The sequence below is a fragment of the Homo sapiens genome, chromosome 11 (genome assembly GCF_000001405.40).
Source record: "Homo sapiens chromosome 11, GRCh38.p14 Primary Assembly".
NCBI classification, from domain to species: domain Eukaryota; kingdom Metazoa; phylum Chordata; class Mammalia; order Primates; family Hominidae; genus Homo; species Homo sapiens.
This window is the reverse complement of record NC_000011.10, coordinates 87,592,041-87,613,449: the sequence shown is the minus strand read 5'-3', so window position 1 is coordinate 87,613,449 and position 21,409 is coordinate 87,592,041. Positions and strand designations below refer to the sequence as shown.

General features: G+C 37.6%; 1 long non-coding RNA gene and 1 pseudogene across 3 annotated transcripts in view, besides 1 other annotated feature; both read right to left on the bottom strand.

Annotated features, from left to right (window-relative positions):
• Positions 1-21,409, bottom strand: part of LOC107984361 (uncharacterized) — a 552,293-nt gene that overhangs the window by 298,596 nt on the left and 232,288 nt on the right. The gene's annotated exons all lie outside the window — the stretch shown is intronic.
• On the bottom strand, positions 6,565-6,667 carry RNU6-1135P (RNA, U6 small nuclear 1135, pseudogene; annotated as a pseudogene).
• Positions 8,554-9,753: an enhancer, noted in NCBI's record as "MED14-independent group 3 enhancer chr11:87314589-87315788 (GRCh37/hg19 assembly coordinates)". NCBI's record gives its function as "activates an origin of replication core promoter dependent on BRD2, BRD4, P300/CBP and CDK7 cofactors, and independent of MED14, by STARR-seq in HCT116 cells {active_cell/tissue: HCT116}" and the evidence as "EXISTENCE:reporter gene assay evidence [ECO:0000049][PMID:35650434]".

Sequence of the window (21,409 nt, the reverse complement as noted above, 5' to 3'; positions counted from 1 at the left end):
ATATTCAGAAATTGGTGGAAAATGTATGGTAACTTCTGGTTGTTACCATGGAAATGGGTAGTAATTTCTAGGCATTGCCATGACATTTGTAAACTGTCATGGTGCTTGTATTAATCCGTTTTCATGCTGCTGTAAAGAACTACCTGAGACTGGGTAATTTATGAATAAAAAAGGTTTAAATGACTCACAGTTCTGCAGGCTTAACAGAAAGCATGACTGGGAGGCTGCAGGAAACTTTCAATCACAGTAGAAGGCCAAGGTGAAGCAACCATGTCTTACCATGGTGGAGCTGGAGAGAGAGGACGAAGGAGGAAGTGCCATGCACTTTTAAACAACCAGATCTTATGAGAACTCACCCACTATCACGAGAACAGCAAGAGGGAAGTCTGCCCCCAACACGTGGGGATTACAATTTGAGATGAGATTTGGATGGGGACACAGAGCCAAACCATATCAGCACTGGTGGGAGCATCTCGCACAGATGAGGAGCAAGGGCAACTGGAAGCTGCCTTCAGTGCTGCTTGCCGATTTTGGTCTGTCTTCAGTCTAGTCCAGAGAATGAGTCTTGCCGGCCTCTTCCCTTCATAATGTTCCTTTATTAGCTTCTCTCTCCTTTCTTTTTCTTCCAAAAATAAGTGGAGGAGGGAAGGGAGCATCATACAGAAATCAGTGATATGACCCAGATTTGAAATCAGAAAGAAATAATTTTGAGATATAAGCTCTACTCTTTATTAGGAAAGGGATCCAAAGCTTCAGTTTCCTCATCTATAAATGGGATAATAGTATCTGCATTAGCCAGAGTTCTTCAGAGGAACAGAACAAGTAGGATGTACATAGATGATGTGCATATATACAGATAGAAATATTTTAAGGAATTGGCTCATGTGATTGTATGGGCTAGCAAGTCTAAAATATGCAGGGCAGGTAGATGGGCTGGAGACGCAAAGAAGACTTGATGTTGCAGCTCAAGTCTGAAGGTGGTCTAGAGGCAGATTGTCTTCTTCCTTGAGGGACCTCAGTCTTTTTCTCTTAACACCTTCAACTAATGGGGTGAGGTCCACCCACATTATGAAGGATAATCTGCTTTATTCAATATCTACTGATTTAAATGTTAATCACATCTAAAAAATTTCTTCACAGCAACATCTAGACTTGTATTTGACCGAGTATCTGGGCATCATAGCTTAGCCAAGTTGACACATAAAATTAACAAACTAGTCTTTTTGCTTAAAATAAAGTATGATTCTTTTTTTGCTGGGTAAACTAACTTCTAAACTTACATCCCCAAAATCTATTAACCAAAGCCAAAACTGATCTTTCTAAACTCTGAATCTGATTTATGGAGTCATTCCACAAATACTACTGAGCACATCCTTTGTGACAGATACTTGATAGAGGTGGGCTACTAACATGCAATGAGTCTGTACTTGCCCCAAGGAATTTAGTCAGCTAGGGAGATGAGATTGCAAACCAGAATAGCTCCTATTTACTGAAGCCCTACTAAGTGTCAAGCACTCTGCATTAATTATGTCATTTAATCTTCACTCTGACTTTACAATGTGGCAACGAGTAAATTCTGCAGATTAAGTGGTTTGCCCAAGGAAACAAAGGCTACTAAATGCTGGAATGGGCATTTAAGCCCTTGTCTGTCTGACATCAATTCCCATGTGCTCCTCTGCCTTCTGGTTACAAACAAAGACAACCCTGTAAGATAGTTGCTGTAGAAAAGATTTGTAGAACATTCAGTGAGGACAGGAAAAGGCATCCCTAACTCTGCCTGGCTAAGTCAGAGATGGCTTCACAATGGTCATGATGATCTTCTGTTTGAAATCATTATGGCCTTCAAAGGGGAAAAAGAATCCAGAATATTAATTAGCAAAACACCTCACATACTGCCTGATAGTCCTGTTCACTCTATGCTTTGTGTTGAACATTCTACACTTCCTTTCCTGGTATCCTTTGCACATCTTTCTCCACACACCACTTTTCTCTTTAGCAAAATTCTATTTTTTTCTACAGCGTTATTGTGTTCTGGCTTTGGTGAGGTATAACTGATAAAATTTGCATATATTCAAGATATACACTTGATATATGTATACACTATGCAATGATTACCACAATCAAATAATACATCCTTCAACACACATAGTTGCCACTTGTGGATGAAGGGTGAAAAAGACACTTAAGATCTGCTCTATTAGCAAATGTCAAGTAAATAATACAGTCCCCATGCTATACATTAGGTCCCCAAAGTTTATACATCTTATAACTGAAAGTTTGGATTCTATAAACATCTCCCCATTTTCCACACCCTGCATCTCCTGGTAACCACCATTCTACTTTCTGCTTCTGTTAGTTCAAATGTTTTAGATTCTACATTTAAGTAAGATCATGTAGTCTTTCTGTATCTGGCTTATTTCACTTAGTATAATGTCCTTGAAATTGATTCATATTGTCAAAATGGCAGGACTTCTTTTTAAGGCTGAATAGTGTTCCATTGTATATACAACATTTTCCTTATCCATTCATTCATTCGTGAACACTTAAATTGTTTCCATTACTCAGCTATTATGAATAATGCTGCAACAAACATGGAGGGTATGTATCTCTTTCAGATACTGATTTTATTTTCTTTGGATGTATACTTAAAAGAAGGATTCTTGGATCCTGTGATTAGTTCTCATTTTAATTTTTTGAAGAATACTGTTTTCCATAATGGCTGTACTAATTTACATTCCCACCAACAGTGTACAAGGGCTCCCTTTCTCCACACCCTCACCAGCACTCCTTGCTTTTTTTTTTTTTTGATAGTAGACATCCTAACAAATGTAAGGTGAAATCTCGCTGTGGTTGAGATATGCATTTCCCTGAAGATTAGTGACATTGTGTCACTTTTCACATACTTCTTGGTCATTTGTATGTCTTCCTTGTAAAAACACCTATTCTGGTCCTTTGGCGATTTTTTATCATTTTATTTATTATTATTATTATTATTATTATTATTATTATTATTATTATTATCGAGACATTTCACTCTTGTTGCCCAGGCTGGAGTGCAGTGGCACGATCTTGGCTCACTGCAACCTCTGCCTCCTGAGCTCAAGCAATTCTCCTGCCTCAGCCTCTCCAGTAGCTGGGATTACAGGCACCCGCCAACACACCCAGCTAATTTTGGATTTGTAGTAGAGACAGGGTTTTGCCATGTAGGTCAGGCTGGTCTCCAACTCCAGACCTCAGGTTATCCACCCACCTCCCAAAGTGCTGGGATCACAGGAGTGAGCCATCGCGCCCGGCCAGCAATTTTTTAATTAGGTTACCTTTTTTGTTATTCATTTGTATGAGTTCTTTATACATTTTGGATGTTAATCTCTTAACAGATAAGAGGTTAATAGGTCAGATAGTGTGCAAATATTTTCTCCCAATCTGTAGATTGCCTTTTCATTTTATTATTTCATTTGCTATGTAGAAGCTTTTTAGTTTGATGTGCTCCCATTTGTGTATCCTTGTGTTTGTTGCCTGTGCTTTTGGTGTTATATCCAAAAAAAAATCATTGCCAAGATCAATGTCAAACAGATTTTCCCATGTTTTCTTCTAGAAGTTTTACAGTTTCAGGTCTTATGTTTAAGTCTTTAATCCATTTCTAGTAAATTTTTGTATATGGTGTAAGATAAGGATCCAATTTCACTCTTTTACATGTCGATATCCAGTTTTCACAATGCGACTTATTGAAGAAACTATCCTTTCCCCATTGTGCATTCTTGTCACCCTTGTCAAAAATTATATTACATATATTATATTATAACTCACATATATGTTGTATATGTGTGAGTTAATTTCTGGGCTTATTCGTTATTCTGTGTATCTATTTTCATGCCAGTGCCATACTGTTTGATTACTGTGCCTTTGTAGTAGATTTTGAAATCAAGTAGTGTGATGCCTTCCAGCTTTGCTCTTCTTTCTCAAGACTACTTTGGATATTCATGGCCTTTTGTGATTCCATATGAATTTCAGAATTGTTTTTTTCTATTTCTGCGAAAAACTTCACCAGAATTTTTATAGGTATTGTTTTGAATTGAATTTGTGGGTTGCTTTGAGTAGTATGCACATTTTAACAATATTACTTATCCCACTCCATGAATGCAGGATACCTTTTCATTTATTTGTGACTTCAATTTCTTTCATCAATGTCATAGTTTTCAGTGTATATATTTTCAGTATATATATTATATATATTTCACTTCTTTGGTTAAACTTATTCCTAAGTATCTTATTGTTTTTAATTCTACTGAAAATTGAATTATGTTCTTAATTTCTTTTTTTGGATAGTGTGTTGTTAGTGTATAGAAATGCAACTGATATTTGTATGTTGATTTTGTATTCTGCTACTTTACTAAATTTGTTTATCAATTCTAACAGGCTTTGGTAGAGATTTTAGGGTTTTCTGTATATACAATTATGTTATCTTAAACAGAGATAATTTAGCTTCTTTCTGATTTGGATGACTTTTATTTCTTTTTTCTTTTATAAGCTAGCTCTGGCTAAGACTTCCAATACTATGTTGAAGAGAAGTTCTGAGACTGGGCATCCTTATCTTGTTCCTGATCTTAGAGGAAAAGCTTTTCAGTTTTCACCATTGACCATGATGTTAGCTAAGGGCTTGTCATATATGACCTTTCTTATGTGAAGTACAGTCTTTCTATACCTAATTTTTTTTATCATAAAAAAAGATGTTGAATTTTGTCAAATACTTATTCTGCATCTATTGAGATAATTATATGATTTTTATAATTTGTTCTGTTTATGTGCTTTCACATTGATCAATTTGCATATATTGAAACATCCTTACACCCTAGCAATGAATGCCACTTGATTGTGGCATTTGATCTTTTTAATGTGCTGTTGAAGACAGCTTGCTAGTATTTTATTTTTGCACATCTCTCATAAGTTTTGATATGTTGTGGTTCCCTCTTAATTTGTCTCAAGATAATTTTTGTTTCCCTTTTGATTTCTTCTTTGACCCATTGGTTGTTCAAGAGTGTATTATTTAATTTCCACATATTGGTAAATGTTCTAAGATTCTTTGGTATTTATTTCTAGTTTCATACCATTGTGGATAGAAAAAAATACTTGATATGATTTTAATCTTCTTATCTTTTTTAAGATTTGTTTTGTGTCCCAACAGATGATCTCTATCCTGGACAATTTTTTCATGTGTGCTTGAAAAAAATGTGTACTCTGCTGCTGTTAGATGGAATGTTCTGTGTATGTCTGTTAGGCCCATTTAGCCTGTATTGTTATTCAAGTCTGCTGTTTCCTTATATTTTATTTTCATCATAATTTGGGTTTTTTAACTTTTAACTTTTATGAGTACATAGTAGGTGTATATATTTATGGGGTAAATGAAATGTTTTTATATACACACTTAATGCATTGCATAATACTAACACCATGGAAGATGGGGCATCCATCCCCTCAAGCATTCTTTGTGTTACAAACAATCCAATTATACTCTTTGAGTTATTTAATTAATTAATTTTTTGAGACAGTCTCACTCTGTTGCCTAAGCTGGAGTGCAGTGGTGCGATCTCAGCTCACTGCAACCTCCACCTCCCGGGTTCAAGTGATCAGCCTGCTTCAGCCTCCCGAGCAGGTGTGACTACCGGCATGTGCCACCAACCCCAGCTAATTTTTGTACTTTTAGTAGAGACGGGATTTTGCCATGTTGGCCAGGCTGGTCTCAAACTCCTGACCTCAAGTGATCTGCCAGCCTCAGCCTCCCAAAGTGCTGAGATGACAGGTGTGAGCCACTGCACCTGGCATATTTTAGTTATCTGAAAATATACAATTAAATTATTATTGACTATAGTCACCCTATTGTGCTATATGATACTAGGCCTTATTCACTAATTTTAACTTTCATACCCATTAACCATCCCCTCCTCCCACATATACACCATCCCGCAACTACCCTTCTCAGCCTCTGGTAATCAACCTTCTATTATCTATCTTCATGGATTCAATTGTTTTGATTTTTAGATCTCACAAACAAGTGAGAACATGCAGAATATATTTTTCTGTCCTTGGCTTGTTTCATTTAACATAATATCCTCTAGTTCTATCTGTGTTGTTGCAAATGAGTGAATATCATTCTTTTTATGGCTGAATAGTACTCCATTGTGTATAAGTACCACATTTTCCTTATCCACCCATCTGTTGATGGACACTTAGGTTGCTTCCAATTCTTGGCTATTGTGAACAGAGCTACAACAAATTTGGGAGTGCAGATATCTCTTTGATATCTTGATTTCCTTTCTTGGAGTATATACCCAGCAGTGGGATGACTGGATAGTATGATATCTCTATTTTTAGTTTTTTAAGGAACCTCTGAAATATTCTTCATAGTGGTTGTGGTAATTTACTTTCCCACCAACAATGTACAGCAGTTCCCTTTTCTCCACATTCTTGACAGCATTTGTTATTGCCTATCTTTTGGATATAAGCCATTTTAACTGGGGTAAGATAATATCTCACTGTAGTTTTGATTTGCATTCCTCTGATGGTCAAAAAAATGTGGAATGCTTCATGAGTTTGCATGTCATCTTTGTGCAGGTTCCATGCTAGTCTCTGTATCATTCAATTTTAATATATGTGATGCCAAAATGAGCACTGCCATTTCCTTATGGATTTTCTGTCTGTATGATCCATTCATTGTTGAAAGTGGGATGTTGACATCTGCTACTATTATTGTATTCTTACTATTGTCTATTTCTTCCTTTAGTTATGTTAATATTTTCCTGATATATTTAAGTGTTTTCATGTTGGGTGTATATGTAGTTACAATTGTATCCTTTTAGTAAATTGATGCCTTCATCATTATATAATGACCTTCTTTGTCTCTTATGACAGTTTTTGATTTAAAGTCTATTTTGAATTATACAAGAATAGGTACACCTGCTCTCTTGGTTTTTTTTTTGTATGAAATATTTTTTTTCTATCCCTTTGCTATCATCCTATTTGTCTCCTTAAGACTAAAGTGAGTTGCTTCTAGGCAGTATATTGTTGGAGCTTGCTTTTTAATCCATGTAGTCACTCTGTGTCTTCTGATTAAAGAATTTATTTACATTTAATGTAATTATTGAGAGAAATAATTTATTATTGTCATTTTTAATTGTTTTCTGATTGTTTTGTAATGTCTTTGTTTCTTTCTTTCACTCTTGTTATCTTCCCTTGTGATTTGTTGACAGTTTGTGGTGGTATGCTTTCATTTCTTTCCTCTGTCTTTTGTGTATCTACCAGAGTTTCTTTTTCTTTGTAGTTAGCATAGACTTTACATAAAACATCTTATAACATTCTACTTAAAACTGATAACACCTTGAATTCAACTGCACTTAAACCTTCACTTTTTCTTCTCCCTCACATATTTTATGCTATTGATGTCATACTTTGCATCTTTTTATACTGTGTATCTATTAAAAATTATTGGAACTATAGTCATTTTTAATACTTTGGCCTTTTAACTTTTATTCTAGAGTTAAAAGTGACTTACATATCATCATTACAGCATCAGAATATTCTGATTTTAACTATATATTTACCTTTACCAGTAAATTTTCCACTTTCTTGTGTTTCATGTTGTTACTTAGCAAACTTTCATTTCAATGAAAAAACTCTATCATTTTTTTAAGTCAAATCTAGTACTGATGAAATCCCTTAGCTCTTATTTATCTGGAAATATCTTTAACTCACCTTTATTTCTGAATGACATTTTTGCCAGATATATTATTCTTGGCAGTTAGTTTGAGTCTTTTGGCACTTTGAATATATCAACCCACTCCCTTCTGGCCTGTAAAATTTGTGCTAACAAGTTCGCTGATAGACTTATGGGGGTTCCATTGTGTGCGATGATTTCTTCTCTTGATGCTTTCAAACTTTTTCTGGTTTTCACTTTTGACAATTTAATTAAACTGTTAAACTGTGTCTTGGGGTATTATTCTTTAGGTTGAGCTTGATTGGCTTGGGTTAAGCTTTATGAATCTGAATATCCATATCTCTTCCAAAATTTGGGAAGTTTGTAGCTTTAAATAAGATTTCTGCCCCTTTCTCTCTCTTCTCGAATTCCCAAAACTCATAATTTATTCACTTAATGGTGTCTCATAGGTCTCTTATGCTTTCTTCACTTTTTTACTCGTTTTTTTTTTCTTTTTGTTTCTCTAATTGGCTAATTTCAAATGTCCTGCCTTGAGTTCACTGGTTCTTTCTTCTGCATGATTGACTATGCTGCTAAAGATCTGTATTGTATTTTCTATTCTGTCATTTTATCATTCTGCTTCAAGATTTCCATTTGGTTGTTTTTATACTTTTTATTTCTTTATTGAACTACTCATTTTATTAATGCATTGTTTCCCTGATTTTGTTTTCTATCTGTGTTCTCTTGCATCTCATTGAGCTTCCTTAACATGACTACTTTGAATTATTTTTCATCCAACTCATAGTTATCCATTTCCTTGGGGTTGGTTGCTCAAGCTCTATTAGTTTCCTTTGGTGGTGTCATGCTTGCCTGATTCTGGATTGTACATGTAGCCTTGTGTTGGTGCCTGTACATTTGAAGGAACAAATATCTCCTTCAGTCTTTATAGAACTGATTTCAATAAGTAAAAACTTTCTCCTGGTGGGTCCTCATGTGATGGGATTGCCTTTAGGATCATGATCAAGTAGCACTTTAGCCTGTTCTGCAGTGGGGTCCACAGCTGAAAGAGCTGTTATTGTGGATAAATGTGACTTCCTCCAAGTCACTGGAAGGTCTCCTTCTGGGTCACTGGGTAGATATCTGGGCAGGCAGGACTGGCTCCAGACTGAGAGGGGTTGGAATTGAGTCACAGGGCTGCATCAGGGTCCACAACTGAGACTAGAGTTGGCAGGCCTACTTCCAGGGACATGAATGGACATGCCTCTTGCCAGGTTCCTTGGAAGGCTGAACTCTCCCTGGACTGAGGCAAAGTGTGACTGAAGCTGAAAAATAAGGCTGCTTCAAGATATATGGTCAGACTAAATTCAGCAGGCCTGACTCTGGAGGCACAGATGAGCATGTCTCCCAGAGGGTCACTGAGTGGGCAGGACTGCTCCTGGAGTATAGCTGGAAGAAGATGGAGCTAGGTTGCAAGATCACTTCAAGATTTACCGTGGAATCAAGGTGGGCTGGCCTGTTCCTGGGACAATGAACAGAAGTGTTTCTCATCAGGTCCCCAGGGACAGGATTGCTCTCAGATCACAGCTGAGAGGAGGTGAAGCCAAGTTACAGGGCTGCTTCAGGATCTACAGCCAGGAATGAGGTCAGGGTGTCTGTTTCCCTTGGCACAGGTGGGTGCGACTTTTCCCAGAGCCTTTGCCACATGATTCTAGTGATAAGACCAAGGCCTAACAAGGATATAGCTGAGTCTACAGGGGAACAAGGCCATAGCTAGTGATAGTCAGAACCACAGTTGGCCAGCCCTCCTCTGTCTTGGGCTCCATGGAGGTTTTACAATCTCCTATCTGACTTTCAAAGTTCCCACAATGGCACTTTTATCTGTGGATGATTGCCAAATTATAGTTGCTATGAGGAGATAAGAGAGGGGGATCCCCCTGGTTTAGATAAAGTCTTCCCTGCTCCACCTGTGTCCATCTTCTAGATTCAGTACACTGTTTTCATGTGTCTGTCATAGCATTGAACACACTGTTTGGTTGGTTGGTTAGGTGGTTGGTTGGTAAGCTTCTCCAGTAATGTAAATTGTAGAAGGTAAAAATGTTTTCTTAACTTCCATATGCCATCATTAGCGCAAGGCATGACACACAGTTTTGATATCATTGCAAAATAAACAGAATCACACAGATCTATTTATATTCATGCAATGAGATGTATATTTGAAGGCACTTGATTCTCTTCAGATTACACCCATTCATCCCTCCTTATACCTTTATAGTGACCATGAGAGCTTCTTCCCCTCCCAAGCTTCCAGAGTCACAACATTTAATATTTTTATCTCTATTTGGTACTATTTAGTAACATATGTTTTTCATTTATCAAACTATGTAATCAGATAGAAAAATATGTTCATTGTTGAATTGAAATAAATTGATACTGACATCATATGGTGTAACAGATTCAGTAGGTAGTTGAGCTAGAAAATTCAGTAACAGTTTGTTTATACTAGCAAGAGGGAGTCTTTCTGGGTGACAGAACTGTTCTGTATCCTGATTGAGATAATAGTTACATGAATCAATCCTTGTATTAAAATTGATAGAATTATACACCAACAAGGTCAATATTACTGCCTAATTTTTAAAAATCAACATCTAGATAATATGCATAGCAAGATACTGAATATACAAATAGACAATGGCCAGACTACATATGACAATTAAAACCCTTACCTACAAGCTTCATCCCAGGAAGTCAAACCACAATTTCTGTAGCAATAGTCCTAGAACAGTCATAGCTTGCTCAGTGACTACCAGCTTCCGAAACTTTCAGCCTGACTTCCAACTTAGGACCAAACAGAGTAGGTCAAATATGCTCTCCAAACCAATCACAGATGATACCCTGCCTCTAGTTAGCTAACCTCCAACTTTCTCATGTCAACAGCCTCCATTCAGGGCACACCTGAAGCCTTACCCTTTTTTCACTATAAAGTTTTCTCACTGCCCTGCCTGCCTTTGAGCCTCTGTCAAACACAATCATGGCGACCGAGTTCCAAGCTCTGAATAAATAGCTTCTGTTTTTTCTAATGTAGTGGGATTTTTTTTTTCATTATTTCCACAATAGGATGCAATCATTTGGGTTGAAATAGAAGTGTGTGTGTCTGTGTGTGTGTGTGTGTAAATGTTTATATATGCACAGACTATGAAAATACACAGACACACACACACACACACACCAGAAATGTCACTTCCTAGATAGAAAGTTGGTTGGCTGGGGAAAAGGGGTAACAGTGAGATTGATTTTTCAATGTATTCCCTTTTGAGTCTTTTGAATGGTCCTCTAAGATCAAATAATTAATTTAAAAATAAAATTAGAGGCTCACTTAAATGTGAAGACTTACAGATTATAAGGAATATTTATTCAAATTCATAAATAATCACAAATAATCTCTAAAGGTAACCTGTTTTATAATTATATTTAGAATAAATCAATGATAAATTGATAACTGATAATAAATCAATTGATAAATTGGCGAGTTGCTTAATATCTCTGGGCCTTATTAACCCCATGGATAAAACAAGGACAATACCAGCTTGAGGAAGTTGTGGGGAGGATTAATTGCTGCTTTATACATGTGGTTCTTGTCATATACTAAATGTATCAGCTGGGTAGGATAGCTGCTGAAGAAGACAGAATCCAACATTTATCACTCAGATACAGTAGGTGTTTCTTTCTTGCTCATATAATAGAACAGAGAGAGTGAATGAGTTAGTGGGTGCCTGTCCTTCAGGTAGTCATGAATGCACCAAACTAAAGGATCCCATTCCAGAAGAAACCCAAACTGATTGATAGTGGTCCTCCCATCTTCAAATATATGACTTATGAAGTTTTCCTGAATATTGTCTCCATCCAGCCAGGTTAAATGGAGAAGGACGAGGGGTAGCACATAGAGAAGGTTTGCATGGGCCATGCCTGGGAGTAGAGCCTGTTACTTTCACTCCTATTTGGGACTGTCAGATTTAGCAAATAGACATGCAGTACAGGTATCCTGTACTTCGTCCAGTTAAACTTGAATTCCAGATAAACAACACAATTTCTTTTAATATAAGCATGCCTCATGCAGTACTTGGGACATATTTATACCAGAAATATGTTTTTTATCTAAAACTTAAATTTAACTGGGTACTCTGTATTTTATCTGGCAACTCTCCAAGTACAACCCATTGGCTAAAACTCAATTACAGGCCTACATATAATTAAACTACAAAGGAAGGTGGAAAGTGTAGTCTAGCTGTTTCCCAAGAAGAAGAGAGTAAGAATTTTTTTAAGCAACTAGCAGTCTATGTATAGTAAGAAATGAATAAAAGTTAGGACCCTTCTTTTTCTGATATGTGTGGGAGCCTGACCTGGAACACTGGCCTTAAACTTTAGGTACAAGAGCACAACTCAAACACCTGCCCAAATAGGCTCAACAAAAGTTCTGCCACTTGGAATGTGTCCTCAGTAAACTACAAAAATAAAATAAGACGACGACAGTGAAACCATGCTGCAATCATTCATCAAAGTCAGACAGTGCCCATGCGGCCTCCTTCTGTGCTGTGTGTTTAACCTCTGGGGAAGCAGTACATTCCATGTGGACTCTAATAAGCTGCCTCTGGGAGCAATTTGACTCATGAAGCTGACTACTGTCTTGAGCAGTTGAAAGAACTTGAGAATTATTTTTTTTTTAACTAATCCCCTTGTAATGGTTGAAATCCCAGCATTCATTTATATTCGTCTTGGAAGCTGGCACCCATAGCTCACAGGACTAGTAAGAAAATTGACAATCTGCTACAGTGGAACTCATGCAGGTGTTATTAACTTTAACTGAATCGATCTCAACTAGATCACTGTCAGGGACGATGTGGTAACAATTGATTTTTCCAGGTCTGAGAGAATTCTCAGTTTACTTATTTTCATTTCTCCATAGACTAATTTTTTTCCTTTGCTTGGAGATTTATGGCAGCATTTCTTTCTTCTTGCTCTCTCATTTCAATTTGAAAATAGCATGCTTTTAAGCACAATATTTGGGGAGGAAAAGCAAAGTGACTTAGAGGCTTCAAAAACAACTCATCCAAGCCCATAAATTTGGCAGCCTAAACAGGCATTGACAAAGAAGGATGTACTCTTTCTGAACCTTATGCATTTCAACCATGTGTGGCCACTGTTATGACTTGTGTCCCCTCAAAATTCATATGGTGAGCCCTAACCCTGAATGTTCCTGTATTTGGAGCTAGCATTGATGTCCTTATAAGAAGAAGAGACAAAAGTGTTGTGCATGCACAGAGAAACTACCATGTAAAGACACAATGAGAAGACAGTCATCTTCAAGTGGAGAGAGGCCTCAGGAAAAATTAAACTTGCCAACACTTTGATCTAGGACTTCCAGCCTCCAGAAGTATAAGAAAATACATTTCTGTTGTTTAAGTTATCCAGTCTGTGGAATTTTGTTATGACAATCCAAGCTGTGACGAATATACCCACCCACCCAGTACCCTTTGTGGATTACTGTGCTTGGTGTTTCCCAAAGGCTTAAAGAGAATACAGCATCTCCTCTATCAGCATCGGGGTAAATCGAGGCACCAAGATGCATATTCTTGGCATGCACATACCATTTCTGCATACCTAGAATGTACACTTGCCGCCCTCCCTTGCACACACCTGCATCAGGAGCCAATGCGGAAACACAGGCATTACAAGGAAGGATGGAGAGTGGAACTCTGGTATAGCAGGCCCTGGCCCTGCACTTTCTTAACATCATGACCTCAGGCACTGTGACCTTGGCCAGTGAAGTTCTTTGGACCTCAGTGTTATTATCTGGACAATACGAATAATAATTCAATACCTACCTCTAAGGGTTGTTACAAGGATCCAAGAGAGCAATATATATGAAAGTGTTATCTATAAAACAGACAGATAAACTAGCAAGTAACAACAAGTGTAGCAACACTCTGATAGAAGGTTATAAAACTTGCTCTTTCATTCAAGACCAGCCTGGCCAACATGGTGAAACCCTGTCTCTACAAAAATTAGCTGGGCATGATGGCAGGTGCCTGTAATCCCAGCTACTCAGGAGGCTGAGATGGGAGAATCACTTGAAGCTGGGAGGCGGAGGTTGCAGTTAGCCAAGATCAGGCCACTGAACTCCAGCCTGGGTGGCTGAGACTGTCTCAAGAAAAAAAAAAACCTCAATCTTCCTCACTCTTTCTATTTATTACCTCAGACAAATAATTTAGCAAATTTTAAACTTCTGAGTATACAGGGCAGGGGGTAAGTAGCTCAAAATCGTATTAGCTAGCTAGAAATCATATTTAACAAAACGGTAAGAGAGTGGTTCTGTGACAACAGGATGTGTAAATTAAAGACTGATTACTGAAGATGTAGGGAGAAACTAGAACAAATTATAAATAATTAAAAGTATGAGGAAAAGTCAGGAGAGCTTGTTCCCCAACAAATGAGACTCAGCTCACAAAGACCCAAGTCTAGCCCCCATTTTGTCTTCCTCTTATGAACCGTGTATTGTAGACAAGTTACTTAATCTTTCTAAGCTTCACAGGCTTGTTGAGGATTAAACAAAATCACGTATGTGTATATGATCTGTGAAGGTAATTTCTTTTTTGTATAAGAAATATGTATTATTTCCTATCCTGGCTCTACCAATAACTAATTGCATGACCTTGAACTTGCCTTTTCTGAGCTTGTTTTCTAAGCTGAGTACTACGATTTCCTTCTCTTATAACAAGCTATGATTTTAAAAGGATGAACATCGTGGCTGCATCACGAGGTTGATAACTAATTCAAGTTTCTTAGTAACTGTGAAATAAAACTTACAAATCAGGACTAAAACAAAGGGGCAGTGATTTGAAAATAGCTCTCCATAAAAATGTTAAACAGGATCATAAATAGAAAATTGTGCCTCTGGAGCCTTTTTCTTCCAGACCATTTGGTCATTCAAAAAATGTTTATCGTGTGTCCCACTACCTGTGGCACACAGGTCTGGAAGCTGGTGAGGTACAAAGGCAGCAGTGGGGGAACTGTGAAGAGTGTAGGGCATCCACAGCTGTGTGCAGCAGAGGACTTGAACTTGGAGCCAGCATGAGTAAGCTGAGCAGTGAGAGGAGGTTAAAGGTGCAGAGTAGGATGTTGGTATCTCATTTTATGAGAAGGAACAATTCCCAACAAACACAGCTCTGTTCTGCTCTGACCTGGGGTTGTCAGAAGTGGAGCCAAAGCCATCCTGACCTCTATCCTGGTGAGGTTAGTAAAGAGAACATCTGCTGGCCATACAGTCCCAAGTCAAGCGCATTGACAAAGGTTACCCCAAGTATGTCCTTACTTAAAAATTCAAAAATTATTTCTGCAGCCACAACCAAGCCAGGCAGTCAGGGTCAATGAAATTAACCCCTCTGATTGCCTTTTTTTTTTTTTTTTTTTTTAATCTATGAAATGGGTCCTACGTCACTGGGTTTTTGAGAACTAAAATTAGGTAATATATATTACCTAAAAATATATATTACCTAAATATATATATTACCTAAAAACACTTTTAGACGTTGCACAAATATGAACTCTCATCATTACTGCCATCATTTGTCTCAAAAGGATTTGCCTTGTGGAACAACCCACTTGAGTCTGGTTTTACAGCAGATGGCTGCCAGAAATATCAATAGCAGCAATTTTCCAAGTCATTCTTCAAATTCTGCTTACTGTTCATTATCACCTTTATTGACTTAGCCCAGCTGCAGGCACCAGCCCAGTTCCATCATTCTGTCACTAGGACTCTGCTGGGTAATTTGTGGTTTCCAAAGGAGGAAGAATGCAGAGGTAGGAATGCAAGTGCAATAGCTGACATAGGATGAGAACAACTACCTTCCCACATCTCCTCTATCCTGGGTGAGCCCTCACAGAGAAAGGGCAGGACTGGTTTCACCTGAGCCTGGGATTAGAAGGGCCCATAGCTCTGGAGTCTGTGTCTGTAAGCATGAGAAGAAAGCTTTAGCATAGCCAGTCATTGCTGCAATATGAGCATTCTTACAGATTTAGAAGAAATGTCATGTAGTAGGAATATCAATAATAGTGCCCTCCATTTATTGGGAAGCACTATGTGCCAGGCCTTCTGTAGGTGCTTTATAAATTGACATGATTCAAATGTCAGCTTTGTCCATTCCTGGTTATGTGGCCTTGAGAATGTTACTTAGCCTCTCTATGCCTGTCTCCTCATCTGCAAAATGTTTATTTTGTGAAAATTGTTCTGAGAATTGCATAAATATATATACATATATATACACATATGAAATACGTATCAAAGTAAAATAGAAATGTATAAAATATAAATATATATAATATATAGTGTATAATATGTAAAACATACATCTATAAAACTTAGAAAAATTCCTGGGACATATATACCATGTGAAGTATTATTATCAGTTATGACTGTCATCATCAACATTATCATGATTATAAATGTCCTGTATTAGTTTCCTGTTGTTGCCGTAACTTAGTGGCTTCAAACAGCACAGACTGATTATCTTACAGCTCTGGAGTCAGAAGTCTTAAGGTATCAGCAGAGTTGTTTTCCTTCAGGAAGCCCCAGGGAGGATTTGTTTCCTTGTCTTTTCCACCTGCATTCTTTGGCTCATGCCCCTTCCTTGCATCCCTCCAATTTCTGCTTCCATTATCACATCTTCTTTTCTGACTCTGACCTGCCTACCCCATTCTTATAAGAACCTTTGTGATTATGTCAGACCCAAGAGAATAATTCACAATGATCTTCCCAGCTCAAGATCCTTCCCTTAGTAACATCTGCAAAGTTGCTTTTGCCATGTAAGTTAACATATTCATAGGTCCTAGGAATGAAGATGTAGACATATTTTGGTGAACATTATTTCGAAGACTAATATATTTGTATGGAGATTTTACACTGAGGAGCTGACTTGGAGTGGTTACAAAAAGCTAAATATGCTAGAGGTGGGTTCCAAATTTAGGTTGGTCTTGTAAAACCCATGCTCTTTGTACCAGCTGGTTCTGGACGTGGAAACAGAAACTCTGAGTTAGCTTCCCAGTTTTCCTACCCAACAGCTCAGGGCTACTGAGAGAGTGGCCGTGAAGTGACTTTAAATGATACTTCACAGGTACAAGCCATCCCTTTCCCATCTGTGGGTGTCCAGATGGGGAAACCAGGGCTCTGAGAGTAGAAGAGCTTGCCGAAGTACACACAGTAAGTAAATGGTAGAACTAAGAATTCACCCGAAGCCTGCTTGGATCCAAGGACAATGACACCATTATTCAGTGGAAATAGATTAAAGAGCCACTGCAAAAGAAATGCGATTTTGTGATTCTCCAGCTAAGTTCATAAGACATAACCTTTTAATAGTCTCACGTACATAATCTTTCAAGTATAGAACAAAGTGCATCTGTTCAGTCTTGTACTTTATAAACCACACACTTTATACTCCCAACATGAACAGAAATAGGGCTGAGAATCTGGGACTGACATGTAAGGACAGAAGGAAAAGGTTCAGCTCTTCAGTAAGAAAAAGAAGAGGTCGACAGAGGACATGCTCAAAACCAATCATATTGTGACCATTCTGCATAAACAGAACCCAAAATTCTCATTAAAAAGGACAAGACAACCCCTTAGGAAAGTAAGAGTAAGTAGTTTTAAGTCAGTTAAGCTAGGCCTTTCCTACTGTAAAACAGTGAATAGGAGACTTAAAGAATGTATTTCTCCCTTCTTGCCCCCGGGAATGCTACAGACTAAAAATACAAATATGTCTGAATGAGGGGAAGTTTGGACAAATGGATTAGAAGTGTTGGCTGGCTCCTAAGAAGAGCTTAACCTGCCTTGTCTCTAAGGTTGGCATCAGAGGGGCATGGAATGTAATGGTTTCGAGACTGGATCATGGATCTGGAAGATGGAATAAAATCTCTACTTTACCACTTTGTTCAACTGGAGAAATTCTTAACCTCCCCAAACCCAGTTTCCCATCTGTAAACCAGACCCATGATGCATACCCCTCAGAGATTGTTGGGGAAGAGTAAGGAAAAAACCATCTGTAAACTACTTAGCACAGAGCCTGACACCCAGCATGCACTGAAGTGGTGATGGCTTCTATTAATTGACATTCCACATTATAACCGTGGGGCATCTGAACCAACCCTGCCTTCCCATTATAAAATGCAAACTCAGTGGAATGCAATAATAATTTTCTAAATGCTTGTTCAAAACACCATTAGAATAAGTAAATAAATGTGCAACAATGATAGTTAGCATTTATTAAACATCTATGGTGTTCCAGGCACTGTTTTATATATATCAATAATTCAATTCTTATACAATTTAAATGTTGGTATAGTATTAACTCATTTTAGAGATGATATAACTAAGGAACAGAATGATTGCCCAAGGTCACACCAATAAGAAATGTCAGAGTTGGATACTGACTCAGTCAATGTAGTTCCAGATCTACAGGCCACAAATCTAAAAGGCTTTTTCAATCACTACACTGAGGCACATGTAGTGGCCACATAATTTACCATCCAAACCAAGATATTTTCCAGCTAGGAAAATGGGCAGAAACTTTGACTGTTCGCAGGCAAACCAGGACATGTGGTCATCCTAGCTCTTTTGCCTTTTTCATTTCTTCTAAAAACAAAAAAATGGGATACATGTGCAAAACATGCTACATAGGTATACATATGCCATGGTGGTTTGGTGCACCTATTGACGCGTCCTCTAAGTTCCCTCCCCTCACTCTTCACCCTGCAACAGGCCCTGGTGTGTATTGCTCCCCTTTCTGTGTCCATGTGTTCTCAATGTTGAATTCCCACTTATGAGTGAGAACATGCATTGTTTGGTTTTCTGTTCCTGTGTTAGTTTGCTGAGAATGATGGCTTCCAGCTTCATCCATGTCCCTGCAAAGAACATGATCTCATTCCTTTTTATAGCCGAATAGCATTCCATGGTGTACATGTACCACATTTTCTTTATCCAGTGTATTATTGATGGGCATTTGGGTCGGTTGCATGTCTTCACTATTGTAAATAGTGCTGCAATAAACATACATGTGCACGTGTCTTTATATTAGAATGATTTATATTCCTTTGGGTATATAACCAGTAATGGGATTGCTGAGTCAAATGGTATCTCTGGTTCTAAATCCTCGAGGAATCACCATACTGTTTTCCACAATAGTTGAACTAATTTACATTCCTACCAACAGTGCAAAAGTGCTCCTATTTCTCCACAGCCTTGCCAGCATCTATTGTTTGCTTTTTAATAATTGCCATTCTGACTGGTGTGAGATGGTATCTCATTGTGGTTTTAATTTACATTTCTCTGATGCTCAATGATGTTGAGCTTTTTTTTTTCATGTTTGTTAGGTGTGTAAGTGTCTTCTTTTGAGAAGCGTCAGTAAACATTTTGATGGAGCTGTCTTTTTCTTGTAAATATGTTTAAGTTCCTTGTAAATTCTGGATATTAGACCCTTGTCAGATGGGCAGATTACAAAAATTTTCTCCCATTCTGTAGGCTGCCTGTTCACTCTGATGATAGTTTCTTTTGTTGTGCAGAAGCTCTTTAGTTTAATTAGATCCCATTTGTCAATTTTAACTTTTGTTGCAATTGCTTTTGGAGTTTTTGTCATGAAGTCTTTGCCCATGCCTATGTCCTGAATGGTATTGCCTAGGTTTTCTTCTCGGGTTTTTATGGTTTGGGGTTTTACATTTAACTCTTTAATCCATTTTGATTTAATTTTCATATAAGGTGTAAGGAAAGAGTCCAGTTTCTGTTCTCTGCATATAGCTAGCCAGTTTTCCCAGCACCATTTACTAAATAGGAGATCCTTTCCCCATTCCTTGTTTTTGTCAGGTTTGCCAAAGATCAGATGGTTTTAGATGTGTGATGCTATTTCTGAGGTCTCTGTTCTGCTCCGTTGGTCTATATGTCTGTTTTGGTACCAGTGCCATGCTGTTTTGGTTACTGTAGCCTTGTAGTATAGTTTGAAGTCAGATAGCATGATGCCTCCAGCTTTGTTCTTTTCACTTAGGATTGTCTTGGCTATATGGGGTCTTGATTCCATATGAAATTTAAAATTTTTTTTCTAATTCTGTGAAGAATGTCAATGGTAGTTTGATGGGAATAGCATTGAATCTATAAATTACTTTGGGAAGTATGGCTGTTTTCATAATATCGATTCTTCCTATCCATGAGGATGGAATGTTTTTCCATTTATTTGTGTCCTCTCTTACTTTCTTCAGCAGTGGTTTGTAGTTCTCCTTGAAGAGATCCTTCACATCCCTTGTTAGCTGTATTCCTAGGTATTTCACTCTCTTTGTAGCAATTGTGAATGGGAGTTCATTCATGATTTGGCTTTCTTCTTGCCCATTGTTGGTGTAAAGGAATGCTTGTGGGTTTTGCACATTAATTTTGTATCCTGAGTCTTTGCTGAAGTAGCTTATCAGTTCAGGAAGTTTTTGGGCTGAGATGATGGGGTTTTCTAAATATAAAATCATGTCATCTGCTAATAGAGACAACTTGACTTCCTGTATTCCTATTTGAATACCCTTTCTTTTTCTTGCCTGATTGCCCTGGACAGAACTTCCAATATTATTTTGAATAAGAGTGGTGAGAGAGGGCATCCTTGTCTTGTGCTGGTTTTCAAAAGGAGTGATTCCATCTTTTGCCCATTCAATATTATATTGGCTGTGGGTTTGTCATAAATAGCTCTGATTATTTTGAGATACATTCCATCAATATCTAGTTTATTGAGAGTTTTTAACATGAAGGGATGTTGAATTTTATTGAAGGCCTTTTCTGCGTCTATTGAGATAATCATGTGGTTTTTCTCTTTGGTTCTGTTTATGTGATGGATTATGTTTATTGATTTGCATATGTTGAACCAGCCTTGCATCCCAGGGATGAAGCTGACTTGATCGTGGTGGATAAGCTTTTTGATGTGCTGCTGGATTTGGTTTGCCAGTATTTTATTTGTTAAGGATTTTCACTTCGATGTTCATCAGGGATATTGGCCTGAAGTTTTCTTTTTTGTTGTGTCTCTTCTTGGTTTTGGTATCAGGATGATGCTAGCTTCATAAAATGGGTTAGGGAGGAGTTCCTCCTTTTCAATTATTTGGAATAGTTTCAGAAGGGATGGTATCAACTCTTCTTTGTATTTCTGGTATAATTCAGCTGTGAATCCATCTGGTCCTGGGCTTTTTTTTTGTTGGTACACTATTAATTACTGCCTCAATTTCAGGGCTTGTCATTGGTCTATTCAGGGATTCAATTTCTTCCTGGTTTAGTCTTGGTAGGGTGTATGTTTCCAGGAATTTATCTATTTCTTCTAGATTTTCTAGTTTATTTGCATAGAGGTGTTTATAGTATTCTCTGATGGTAGTCTGTATTTCTGTGGGGTCAGTGGTGATATCCCCTTTATTATTTTTATTGTGTCTATTTGATTATTATATATCTCTTCTTCCTTATTCATCTACCTAGTGGTCTATTTTTTTAATTTTTCAAAAACAAAACAGATCCTTGATTCATTAATTTTTTGGAGGGTTTTTCATGTCTCTATCTCCAACTCTTCTCTGATCTTAGTTATTTCTTGTCTTCTGCTATCCTTTGGATTAGTTTACTCTTGCCTCTCTAGCTCTCTTAATTGTGAGGTTAGGGTGTTGATTTTTCTAGCT